General features: G+C 40.9%; 1 protein-coding gene across 8 annotated transcripts in view; it reads left to right on the top strand.

Moving 5' to 3' along the window:
* COX7A2L (cytochrome c oxidase subunit 7A2 like) overlaps nucleotides 1-13173 on the top strand; it is a 33399-nt gene that overhangs the window by 10254 nt on the left and 9972 nt on the right. For 4 of the 8 annotated variants that reach the window (NR_134947.2, NR_134948.2, XM_047446291.1 and 1 more), the window contains 2 exons: nucleotides 5361-5492; nucleotides 7345-9366. Coding sequence is in view for 6 of the 8 variants with exons in the window: in XM_047446291.1 (XP_047302247.1) it covers nucleotides 5361-5492; nucleotides 7345-7485 (273 nt within the window). In the remaining 2 variants the exon portion in view is untranslated. Of the gene's footprint in view, nucleotides 1-5360; nucleotides 5493-7344; nucleotides 9367-13173 lie in introns of those variants that run through there. The other 4 variants (NM_001319037.1, NM_001319036.1, NM_001319040.2 and 1 more) reach the window with 3 other exon arrangements.

The following is a 13173-nucleotide window of genomic DNA, read 5'->3' as shown; positions in this document are numbered from 1 at the left end:
CTTTCAGATTTCTAGTACCTCTCCTCGTGAATCGTGTTTCTCTTGAGAATTTGAACTTCTTAGTTACTTAAAGATTTCTTAAACTATGTTGAAAAGAAGTGATACTGTGTAGGCTTTATATGAATTGTAAATTTCTGAGTGATTGTGACAGGTGCCCTCCCAACTAGGTGCTCTGACTTTGGTAATTAGGAGTACTTCAGCTTTTTCCTTTCCTGGAAACATACGATGAAGATGTTTGTAATTTGTAGTAGTAAGTAAAGTGAATAATTTGCCATGCACTAAATAACATAATATGGAAAAGGTGGTTCTGTAACAATTGCACAGGTAGAGATTTGTAAGTCAGCTTGACAGCAAGCAGTTGGTGGGATGGCATTTTCCATTGGTTGAAAGGCATCTTCCTTACCTTTCTCTGAATTGCGTCAAAAATAAATTGAGGCCAATAAGCACATGAAGATGTTTAACATTTTCAGTTATTAGAGCAAATCACAACCACAATGAGGTACCATTTAGTATCCACCAGAATGCCTAGAATCAAAAAGACAGATGATAACAAGTATTGGTGAGGATGTAGAGAAACGAAACATGTTACATTTGTGGTGGAAATGGTAAAATGACGCAGCCACTTTGGAAAACAGTTTGGCAGTTTGTTAAAAAAGGAAACGTAATTTTACTGTGTGATCTAGGAATTCCTCTCCCAATTAAGATGGCAGAATGGTATTCTAGGTAAAGGGAACTGTGAGAGTGAAGGAAGGGAGGGGGTCTGGAGGAGAAGCATTGGGTAGGTAAGTTTGACTGTGGAGGATGGAGGTAAATCATGAAGGGCCTAGTATGTAAGGACTTAATTTTGTGAGGCACTAGTAGGAAGTTGCAGAGCAACTTGATGCAGAGTTGTGGTAGTTTGTCCTTTCAGATGAGACAGATGTTGGGGATGAGGAGGGAGGGCTTCAGCATGATTGGTGAATTGGTGCTTTTCACAGTGACAGGGTGTTCCTGAATGGGCTTAGGAGTGAATTTTGGACATGATGAGTGTGAGGTGTCAGAAGGACATGGAGGTAGGTGGTGATGTCTAGCTTACCGTTAGAAATAAATAGAGGTCAGGTGCGGTGGCTCACACTGGTAATCCCAGTGTTTCCGGAGGCCAGGGCAGGAGAATTGCTTGAGGCCAGGAGTTTGAGACCAGCCTGGGCAGCAAAGTGAGACCCCGTCTCTAAAAAAAAAATAAGAAAAATTAGCTGGGTATGGTGAAGCGTACTTGTAGTCCTAGCTACTCAGGAGGCTGACGCGGAAGGATCACTTGAGCCTAGGAGATTGAGGCTGCAGTGAGCTGTGATCAATGCGTTGCACTCCAGCGTGGGTGACAGTGTAAGATCTATCTATAAACAAAACAAAACAAAAAGCCAAATGAATTGAGTCACTGCAGATTGAAACTGGTCTCCAGTCCTAAATCACAGTGGAAAAGTTCATACATTTCTATCATTTAAAAATTAAAATTATGGGGATCCTCTTTTCTCTCCACCCTCTTCCCCAAACCTAAGAGGTAGAAGAAAAGGAAAATGTTACAACCAACTTTTAGAGGGAAAATCATGTTTACTTTTCTCTTTAAAAATTTGGAGCAATTGAAATAAACTAGGAAGAACTTAATTACTAAACGTGGTTAAGGTTGAATGGCTCGTAATTAATTTTGGAGGTGGGGCTTATTTAAGCAGCTAAGAGATTCAGTATTAAAAAGTAAAGTATGTGATTTTTCTTGATCTATGGGCCACTTATTTTTAATTTTATTTTGAGACAGAGTCTCTGTCGCCCAGGCTGGAGTACAGTGGCGTGATCACAGCTCACTACAGCCTCGACCGCCTGGGCTCAAGTCATCTTCCCACCTCAGCCTCCTAAGTAGCTGGGACCACAGGTGTGCACCACTGTACCTGGCTAATTTTTTGATATTTTGTAGAAACAAGGTCTCACTACGTTGCCCAGGATGATCTCAAACTCCTGAGTCAAGTGATTCTCCCACCTCAGCCTCCCAAAGTGGTGGGACCACAGGCATGAGCCATTACGCCCAGCCTGTCCACTTTTTATAAGAACAGCTTTCAGTTGTTTTCTTATTGCTATGGGAATTGTGGATGCCCTGCCATCAAATGCCAGTTGATCAGACTTTGTTTCTGAGATACTCAAACCTACACTGTGAAGCTATAGCCTTCTTTAGTTTATTTGAACATTCTGCCTATATTTACTGAATGCGCTTACTCTGCCGGTTGCTTTTCTAAGTCTTGGAATATAGGAGCAGTGAACAAGATGTGCCAAAATCCTGTGCTTGTGGAGCTTCCATTATAGTGGGGGGAGACACAGTAAGCAAAGTAAAACATAGTATGTTAGGTGGTGATAAGTGCTGTGGAGAAAAATAAAGAGGGTAAGTTGTTAGTAGGGCAAGGGGGAGGACATGCAGTTTTTAAAAGGGTGGTCAGAAAGATCTCTCTGAAAAGGTGACTTATGGGGTTGGGTAAAGACCTGAAGAAGGTGAGGGTATAAGCCACGTGGATACCTGGAGAAGATCATTCTAGGCAGAGGGAACATGGCTGTGCCTGGGAGGTTTCAGGATAGCTCCTGAGCCAGGATCACGCCACTGCACTCCAGCCTGAGTGACAAAGCAAGAGCCTAGCTCAAAAAGGAAAAAAAACAGAATGGGCCGGGTGTGGTGGCTCACGCCTGTAATCCCAGCACTTTGGGAGGCCAAGGTTGGTGGATCACCTGAGGTCAGGAGTTCGAGACCAGCCTGGCCAACATGGCAAAACCCAGTCTCTATGAAAAATACAAAAATTAGCTGGGCGTGGTGGCGTGCACCTGTAGTCCCAACTACTCAGGAGGCTGAGACAGGAGAATGGCTTGAACCTGAGAGGCAGAGGTTGCAGTGAGCCGAGATTGCACCACTGCACTCCAGCCAGGGCAACAGAGCGAGATTCCGTCTCAAAAAAAAAAAAAAAAAAAAAAAAAAGAACGTAGGATTTTACACTGTGACTGTTAAATTATTAAACCTGAATAAACATTGGAGGAAAAGTTACAATTTATAACAATTAATGGGATGAGATAATGAGATTATAGGTAACTTCAATTCTATAAACTTTTACAATATTATAAAGGGAAATACGGAATTAATTTAAAATTAAGATGGTTGGTATTCCTGTTTTCAGATGATACTGTTCAAAAACTTTGCTGTAGTTTTGAATCACTGCATGCTTGGACAAACAAATACAATCCCTTCAAAAATACTCTCACATTAGTCCTGTCGAAACATGAATTTACTTTCAAGCCATTTTTGGAGATCCTTGGTAGAAAGAGTTTTTACATTTTTGCATTCAAGAAGAAATTTTTGCATTTCAAGGAGAAAATATGGTGAGCTCACAGAATGATATAAAGGAGTATCTAACATTCTCCATCCAGTTCAAACCATGATTCTTGTTAGCCTTTTGATCTTGATAGTAGAGCCCCTGTTTGCCTCTCTGACTCCTCTGAGTCTCTGTTTTGAGTGTGTTGTATTTCTAAATGTAGGCCAACATCTTACTGACCAAACTTTCTCTTTAAATGGGCTGTTGTTTTTAAGCAATAGTTGATTGGGAGGGTGGGGTGTGAGTTGTGGAATACTTAAAAGCCAGGGCTCTGGACTTGAGAAAGGCCTGAGTTTGAAAACTTGACTTGCTTTTCACTATTTGATCAAAGGCAAGTTATTCTCTCTCCAGTGTTTTCCTCTGAAAAATGGGAATAGTAATATCTTCATAGGGTTGCTGTCAGAATTAAGTGAAGTAATGCATGTGAAATGTTTGACATGATACTGACACTTCACAAGGGTTAAATAGATATTAGCTGCTGTTGGTTTATAACATTAATATCCATGGTGGCTGAGACTGTGGCAATGTTATTCATTGTGTATTTCTAGTGTAGAGCAAGTGATCAGTAATAAATGTTGAATGAATGAATACGTTACAGAAAACAGGCCATGGTTCATTCCCATTTACTGTACTGTGTCAGAAGAAATAGAAGCCAAGTTTACTTTAATGCTTCTTTTTATTGACCTGTTCATCTAGTGCTTGCCTGGTGGGAGTAGCATTGAGGTTTTCAATATCTAATCTTTATAATATGCCCTGTCAATTATAGGTAAATTTAGATTTCTTTGAGACAAGAATCAGCGGACTGATCACTGTATTTGGGCAAGAGGTTTCCTTCTTTGTCTGTAAAAGGAAAAGGCTGGGTTTGAATTATGCTTTCTGACTTTAAATTTTTATTTTTCTTAGTTAGAATTTAACATAAAAGGAGGATTTTTATTGGCTTATAACTCTTAGCTCCTTATTTTAATTTACAGGTTATTTTGGATTACTCTATATATTTGTCACTGTAGGTTTATTCCTTTCAGATAAAAAAACCAGAGATCCCCCCCACCTTTTTTTAAAGCAGCTTTATTGAGATATAATTTACATAGCATACAAGTTGCCCATTTAAAGGGTACAATTTAGGGTTTTTTAGTGTATTCACAGATATATGCAACTACCACCACAGTTAATTTTAGAGCATTTTTTTAATCACCTCAAATGGATACCTATGTACCTTTTAACTGTTACCTCCCTAGCCCCCAAGCCCCCACCTGAAGCAACCATTAACCTACCTTCTGTCTCTGCGGTTCCCTCTTCTGACTTTGCTGTGAATGGCGTCATACAGTATGTGGTCTTTGGGACTGGTTTCTTTGACTCAGCGTAATGTTTTAGAGGCTTATCCGTGTTGTAGCATGTGTCAGTACTTCCTCCCCTTCACCTTGTTTAAATTTTTACTGTATGTGTTTTCAATTTATGTGTTTATTTATGCTGAAAAGTTCATTTCGAAAAGTTTTTTGTTTTGATTTTGTTTTCTGGTCCTGGAAGGCAAGTATTGTTTGTTTGTTTGTTTAGTTTTGTTTTAAACCAGTAAGCCTGTTCCACATTGAATATTTCTTTATTGTGTGTCTGGAAAAGTTTCTGAAGTCTGCTCTGGGGTTAGACATTCCATGTTACTAGATTAGCTCATTTAGAAGAAAAAAATGGCAGACAGATCCCTCATGAAAGCTAATGACAAGTTCGTAACAGATTATAAATGTTTTACTGGTTGCTAAGAAGATAGACACACCAGGTATTTCTGGAAGCTCAGATTGGGCCTTTGTTGGCGTCCCCCTGACCCTCACACGCCCCCTGCAATCGTAATGGCAAGGGGTTCTTGACAGGGTTTGCTCTGGGAAAGTTGGAGAGACTTTCTTGCTCTCTCGTAGTTGAATGGCTGCCTCCACTATTCCAGACAGCCTCCTCAGACATACTTTCAACTTGCCATTTTCCTTTTTTTCTCTACAGGGATTAAAGCCTGTGGTTTCCACAGAAGCACCACCTATCATATTTGCCACACCAACTAAACTGACCTCCGATTCCACAGTGTATGATTATGCTGGGAAAAACAAAGTTCCAGAGCTACAAAAGTTTTTCCAGGTGAGGGAAGATACTCTACAACAGAAAAGCCTGTGAAATAAATAGGCTTAAAAAATCCCTTATGAAACTAAATCTTAATCTAGTTTACTACCCACCCTCCTTCTTTTTCTTTAAGTAGTATTCTCTTGATTTTAGTTTGAGCCATAAACGAATAGAACTTTATATAGGTAGATACTGATAAAAGAGGGGAGGGTGGTTAATTTCCTCATTAGTATTTAAGGGTGTGAGGGTTTTGAAATGGCATGAATAGCTCTTGATCATTTATTGCATGGAAGAAGCAATAGCCTCAATAACTGAGTAGCCTGTATAACTGAATGACCCAATATATATATTTGACTTCGTGACACATGTAATGACTTGGCAGTGGGTTTTTTTCTCATTGTTTTTTGCTTGCTTGATATTAAAATTCACTGAGCTATTGCTGAAAGTAGAGGAGGTGCTTACGGGTTTGCACATGAGTAGAGAATCCAGAATCAGAATTGAAAATGTTTTTAAAGTGAATCTACCTGCAAATTATTGAGAAATTAGTGACCTGACCAAATCTTAGGTGCCATGGGAGTGGCAGTGCTTGCTACTGCTATTGCTGTAAGGTAGCTTCCCCCTCCTCAAAAGTAGTCCAGATCCAGACCCATCTTGAGGATAGAGCACTTTTGTTTTGATCAGTTTAATCTCTTTTTATCTGATAAGTAAGGTTTGAGAGAGCATTTAGAATCTCAAGGTGCGGTGGGGAAGGATTTTGGACACTGCAAAATATGAGTTAAACAGGCCAGGTGTGGTGGCTCACTTGTGCAGCCCCAACACTTTGGGAGGCCAAGGTAGGAGGATTGCTTGATCAGCCTGGGCAGCATAACGAGACCCTGCCTCTACAAAAAAACTTAGCTGAGTGTATAGGCACGCGTCTGTAACCCCAGCTACTCCAGAGGCCGAGGCGGGAGGATCACTTTAGCCCAGGATTTTGAGGTTGCAGTGAGCTATGATTGAGCCACTGCATTCTAGCCTGGGTAGCAGAGTGAGACCCAGTCTCTAAAATGATGATGAAGATGATGATTTAAATATCTCATGGAATTTGATTATTAAATGGGTTTAACAGTGTGACGGAAAGAAGGCAGTTGAATGCCAAATGGACTTGAACCTATTGACATGAGGTACTCCGACCCCATCCACTTATGATCAGAAGCCAAACTAAATGGAGAACGTTTCTCGTGCCAGCACCTCTTTTTATCTTTTTTAAGACAGAGCCTTACTCTGTCACCCAGGCCAGAGTGTAGTGGCACACTCATGGCCCACTGCATCCTTGACCTCTTGGGCTCAAGCGATCCTCCCACCTCAGCTTCCCTAATAGGAAGTCCCTAATGGGACTACAGGTGCATACCACCACACCTGGCTAATTTTAGTTATTCTGTAGAGACAGGGTTTTGCCATGTTGCCCAGGCTGGTCTTGAACTCCTGGGCTCAAGCCATCTGCCTGTCTCGGCCTCCCAAAGTGCTGGGATTACAGGTGTGAGCCACCGCGCCCAGCCTCTCCTGCCTGCACTTCTTTTAGCTACTGATTACCTTTGCCTTTTAAAAAATGCACCAATGCTCCAGTTAAGCAATATGTGATAAATGTCTTAGACATTTGGAATCTTTTGCATGCATGCTTCCTGAGGCAGCATTTTGGAGAATGACTTTGGATTTACAAGCTTTAGCTACATTTATAGGAACTTCTACTAGCATTCCATGGATTAGTGCTTTTCCCACTGTCATGTGTTGATGAATTACTTACCGAGTAGACAAATTTGTTATTTTTTAAGAGTAAAATTGTAAAATATTTTTCTTCTCAACCATGCCCTTGTTAATTCTTGCTTTCAAGAAAGCTGATGGTGTGCCCGTCTACCTGAAACGAGGCCTGCCTGACCAAATGCTTTACCGGACCACCATGGCGCTGACTGTGGGAGGGACCATCTACTGCCTGATCGCCCTCTACATGGCTTCGCAGCCCAAAAACAAATGAGTTAGGCTGCAGAGGACTGGTTTGTTTTTTGGCATAAACCCTTTGAAGTTCCTTTTTCATTGTTAAATTAAAATTTTTTTTTTTACTTGGATGGCTTAACATTTTTGCAAGAAAAATAGGAAGATATGAAGATGATGTTTTGGTTTGTTTATGAAATGCATATGGCTTGTCAGAGCTCATTCGACAGTTAAAGCCATTGTTTAAAGAAATGGTGCTTTGCTCTGTGTTTGTGCTCCTGATTTCCCTGGAGGTTCTGGATGAAGGCTGAACACAGGCTTGTTAATGTCAGTCTGTGCTGAGGACCTCAGGGACTTGAGGTTGCATTTTTGAGCATGGGGTGCAGGAGCCTTTCTGGATTTGGATGTGGCTATGGAAAGAACACAGAAGCCAAGGTCATGTGCATGAAATGAGGAGTTTGAGTTAGTCACCTCGGGGATTTTTTCCATTTTGCAGTAAAATGTTAAATTAATGTAGCCTGCCTCTATTTGTTGGGCAGGTAATTTCAAAGGGTTATTTGCCTCATCTCCTATCTTTAGTGAAATCTTATGTGTAATTATTCCACCGTGGGAACAGAGAATACCTGTTTAGTGTTGCACTTTAGACTGGTGTCTGTTTTGTTAATGCAGCTGTGCCACAAATTCTCCTTTATCTTTTAAAAATGTTATAGCTTTAAATTTTGATTTATTTTGACTGTGGAATAAATACATGAATGAAAAATTTTAAGTTTGAAGTTCTTTGAATGACCTTTCAGAGTAATTTCAGAACACCAGCAGCATCTTAAACCTGAGTCTAATTTCTTTCTTGTTAATTAGGCACCAGATAATCTTTATAAAATGGTTCTTAAAAGTCTAGTAATAGGAGTCTTAATGGCATATTGATGATTACCACATGGTTTTTTATAAAAACCTGCCTGCCCCTTAGTGAAAGGTACCTGTAACTCACAGTTCATTTAGACACTAATTTCCTTTGCTGTCATGATTGGTAGACTTCACTTACCCTATATTAATTTTGAAAAAAGGTGGAATTTTATTATATATGAAGGAATAGTTTGTATCTTACCATAGCACAGAACAGTGACCTCTTGCTCAGGATAAGATGTGGTGATTTGAAAATACTCAATAGTAGCCTTGCAGTGATATCTCTCTCTCTCTCTCTCTGCAAATCTAAATTTTATTCTCTGGTATTTCCTCCAAGTTTTTATTTTGAAAATTTTCAGACTACAGAAGGACTAAGCATAGTACAATATACACCTGTATATCCTTCACTTAGATCACCAGTTATCAATATATTGGCACCTTTGCTTTTTCTTGTTCTCTCACACAGGCACACACAATGCATATATGCACACACACATAGATCTGTTTTTTGTTGAGTCATTTAAGATTGTTAGGGAATTATGATAAATCAGCCATAGTACTTTAGCAGGTATCTTCTGAGTAAGGACATGTGTTCCTTTATAACCATAATGCAGTTGTCAGACTCAATAAAGTTAACATTTATAACAATACTACCATCTAATACATAGTTTACTTTCAGATTTCCCCAGGTGTTCTAATAATGAGTTCTTCATAGTTGTGTTTTTAAAAAATAACAGCTTTATTGGGATATAATTTACATACTGTACAGTTCACCTCAAGTGTACAATTCATTGGTTTTTACTGTATTTGGAGTTGTACAGCCACCATGAGAATCAATTTTAGAACACTTATATCACCCTAAAAAGAAACCCCATACCCATTAGCAATCACTTGCCTTCCCTCCCACCATCCCAACTCCCACCTCCTAGCCCAAAGCAAGCACTCATCTACTTTCAGTCTCTATGGATTTGTCTTTCCTGGACATTTCATATAAATATAATCATATGATGTGTGATGTACGTGACTGGCTTCTCTCAGTGTCATGTTTTTAAGGCTCATCCATGTTGTGGCATGAATCGATACTCTATTATCTGAATAGTATTCAATCGAATGGGTATACCACATTTTGTTTATCTATGGTTGGACATTTGGGTTCTTTCCACTTTGGGGCTGTTACGAATAATGCTGCTATGAGCAATAGTGAACATATGTTTACATGGACATATGTTTTCATTTCTCTTGGGTATCTACCTAGGAGTGGAATTCCTGGGTCATATGGTAACTCTGTTTAACATTTTGAGGAACTGCCAGACTGTTTCCAACTCAGTTGTACCATTTAACATTCTCACCAGCACATGCAGTTCCTTTTTGTTTTTGTTTTGGGTCCAGGATCCAGCAAAGGATCATACATTGCATTTAGTTGTTGTCACTTTTTTTTTTCTTTTGAGATGGAGTCTTGCTCTGTCTCCAGGCTGGAGAGCAGTGACGTGATCTTGGCTCACTGCAATCTCCGCCTCTCACGTTCAAGCAATTCTTTTGAGTCAGCCTCCCGAGTAACTAGGACTACAGGTGCACACCACCATGCCCAGCTAATTGTTTGTAATTTTAGTAGAGATGGGGTTTCACCATGTAGGCCAAGATGGTCTCGATTTTCTGACCTCATGATCTGCCCGCCTCAGCCTCCTAAAGTGCTGGGATTACAGGCGTGAGTCACCGTGCCCAGCATGTTGTGACTGTTTAGTCTCTTTTTATCCAGAATAGTCAGTCCCCAGTGCCCTTCCTGATAGTGACCTATTTGAAGAGTCCAGGCAAGTTGTTTTGTAGGACATTCCTTAACTTGGATTTGTCTGATTGTCTCATTGGTGGTTTCAGGTTAAACATTTTTGTCAGGAATTTTTTATAGGTGATATGGTGTCCTCGTTATGTCAGGTGGCACTTGATACCAGTTTGTCCCATTATTGGTGATTTGAAGTTGTGTCTGCCGGATTTCTCCCTTGTCAAGTTGATACCCTTTCCCCTTTGCAGTTAATAAGTAGCCTGAGGGGCGATATTTGAGACTAGGAATATCGTGTCCTCAGCAGTTTGCACTCTGTTCATTGGTCATTCTTGACTGAATTATTACTAAGGTAGTTGTAAACTGATTTTTTCTGTTGTCATTCCTTCTACATTTTTGATATTTCTTCTGTGAAGATGAGCCTTTAAAGAAATTTGATGGAATTTCCTGATTTGATGTATAGTAAGCATTTCTGCCATTATTGATTTTGATGCTGAAATGTGGCTTCTGTGTTCTTTGAGCATCTCCTATCAGTCTTTGATCACCTCCCTACCTTGTGACAGACAAGATGGCTTCCATGCTGACCTTGTGTTTTCCTTACCTCAGTTTCCTCTGTTTATTATGATATATTCTATGAACATATATAGATGCATTTTCTTTTTTTTTGAGATGGAGTTTCGCTCTTGTTGCCCAGGCTGGAGTGCAATGGCGCCATCTCGGCTCACCGCAGCCTCTGCTTTCTGGGTTCAAGCAGTTCTCCTGCCTCAGCCTCCCGAGTAGCTGGAATTACTGGCATGCGCCACCATACCTGGCTAATTTTGTATTTTTAGTAGAGACGGGGTTTCTCCGGGTTGGTCAGGCTGGTCTTGAACTCCTGACCTCAGGTGATCCACGTGCCTTGGCCTCCCAAAGTGTTGGGATTACAGGTGTGAGCCACCACGCCCGGCCAACGCATTTTCTTTGCCTGTTTTATTTTTGCCTAAATGGTAGTTAGTATACCTTCCAAATCTCACTTGTAGCTTAGAGATTGTTCTGTCTCATTTTTCTATATTGGATTTTATTTTATGAATGTACCATAGTTTAGTCTCTTTTTGAAGGGTATTCAGTTTCAAATTTTTTGCTTTTATAAATATGACTTTAATGCATAATCTTTAGCTGTCATTTAATACAATGTTGGATATATTTCTAGGATCATTTCTAGACGTGAGATTTAGGAGGTGAGGGGGATGTGCATTTCCAATTTCAATAGTGCTAATTACTAAAAAAAAAAAAAAAAAAAAGGTGCTGGTTTACATTCCTATCTAGCAGTGTTGAGAGTGCCTGTTTCTTTTTACCTTTGTCTACATAAAATATTACCAAACTTTTTGATCTTTGCCAGTCCTCTAAGTGATAACATTTCTTTGTGGTTTAAATTGCCTTACTAGGCCGGGCGCCATGGCTCACGCCTATAATCCCAGCATGTTGGGAGGCTGAGGTGGCAGATCACTTCAGCTTAGGAGTTCAAGACCAGCCTGGGCAACATGGTGAAACCTTGTCTCTACAAAAATACAAAAAGGGCTGAGGCAGGAGAATCGCTTGAGCCCAGGAGGTCAAGGCTGCAGTGAGCTGAGATTGCGCCACTGCATTTCAGCCTGGGCGACAGAGCAAAAGCCAATCTCTAAAGAATTTTTAAAAAAAAGTACTCTGGAGATAAATGGGCAAAGTACATGAATAGATAGCTCATAAAAAAAGGAAATATAATTTAACTTTAAAAAGAATAAAACATTTTTTTAAAAAAGATATTCAACATCACTAATTATAATAAAAAGCTAATTTCCTTTTTTTTTTTGAGACAGGGTCTCACTCCGTCGCCCAGACTGGAGTGCAGTGGCTCGATACTGGCTCACTGTAGTCTTGACCTCCTGGGCTCAAGTGATCCACCTCACCCTCCTAAGTAGTGGGACAATAGGCGCTGTTGCAGTAAGCTTTTGGGAGAGACGAGGTCTTGCTGCTGTGTTGCCCAGGCTGGTCTTGAACTCCTGGCCTCAAGCAATCCTCCTGCTGTAGCCTCCCAAAGTGTTGGGATTACAGATGTGAGCCACTTGCCTGGCCCAGAGTACTTATTGATAATGCTAAATGTATTGGTCTATTGGGCTGACTTCCTCAGGAATAGTCTCTAGTGACTCCTGAGCCAAACCTCTTCTGATTGCAAGCTCCAGAAATTCATTAAATCCAGCTGATACACAAAGGGAGATTTTTCAGAACCTGAGCGAAGCTGGGCCTCACAAGGACTGCCTTCGAGTCCAAGGTACCTGTCCTTTCTGTCACTCTCTTGATTATGCAGCTGTTTAATTCTGTCTCTGCAGACCAGCTTTCTCTGTTTCTCATTGGATTTGGAAGGAAATTGTTGTCCAGCTGCTGGCAACATGCCCTTAATTCCAGGAGAGAGAGAATGTTATTGTCCCATTTGGGTGAGGTGTCCTCCACTGGGCCAGTCAGCTGTTTGGTGCCAGGCTGTGGGGGCAGATGCAGGGAAGGAGTGCAGGCTGCCCTATTCTTGGATGTTAATTGACGGTGCAGAATCTTTCGCTTTATTCTCAGAGTTAGGATTATGCCTTCTAAGCACGTTACTCTGAACCCTTGCCAGGTTGGTTTGTTTACTCAGAGGAAGACCCTCCTCCCTCTCACCGGCTCGTCTCTTCTCAGTGCTGTCTGGATGAGATGCTGTTAATACAGGGTCCTTCCCTCTACTCACCTCCTCCAGGCCATGCAGTTAGGCCACGGTGCTGAGTAAGTGCGGTCCTACTCTTCACAACAGTGCTCTGGGTTCACATGACCCCGGGGGTATGAAGACTTCATGGGGTACCCACACAAGGATAGTTTAAGGGAATTATTTTAAGTCATCCTCCATTATACCTCCTAAAATTAAGCTGCTGCAGAGCACACCTGGCTTAAGGGGGTCCTGTATGATGGTCTTTCACTCTGAAAGGAAGGCAGACCCTCAGCCATTCTTGTCCCACCAAGGGGTGTTGCCCTGGAGAGTGAAAACCATCCCTGGGGCAATGTAGGAATATGTGC

This window comes from Homo sapiens, chromosome 2 (assembly GCF_000001405.40).
Source record: "Homo sapiens chromosome 2, GRCh38.p14 Primary Assembly".
Taxonomy (NCBI): Eukaryota; Metazoa; Chordata; class Mammalia; order Primates; family Hominidae; genus Homo; species Homo sapiens.
This window is presented reverse-complemented; position numbering and strand designations above follow the sequence as displayed.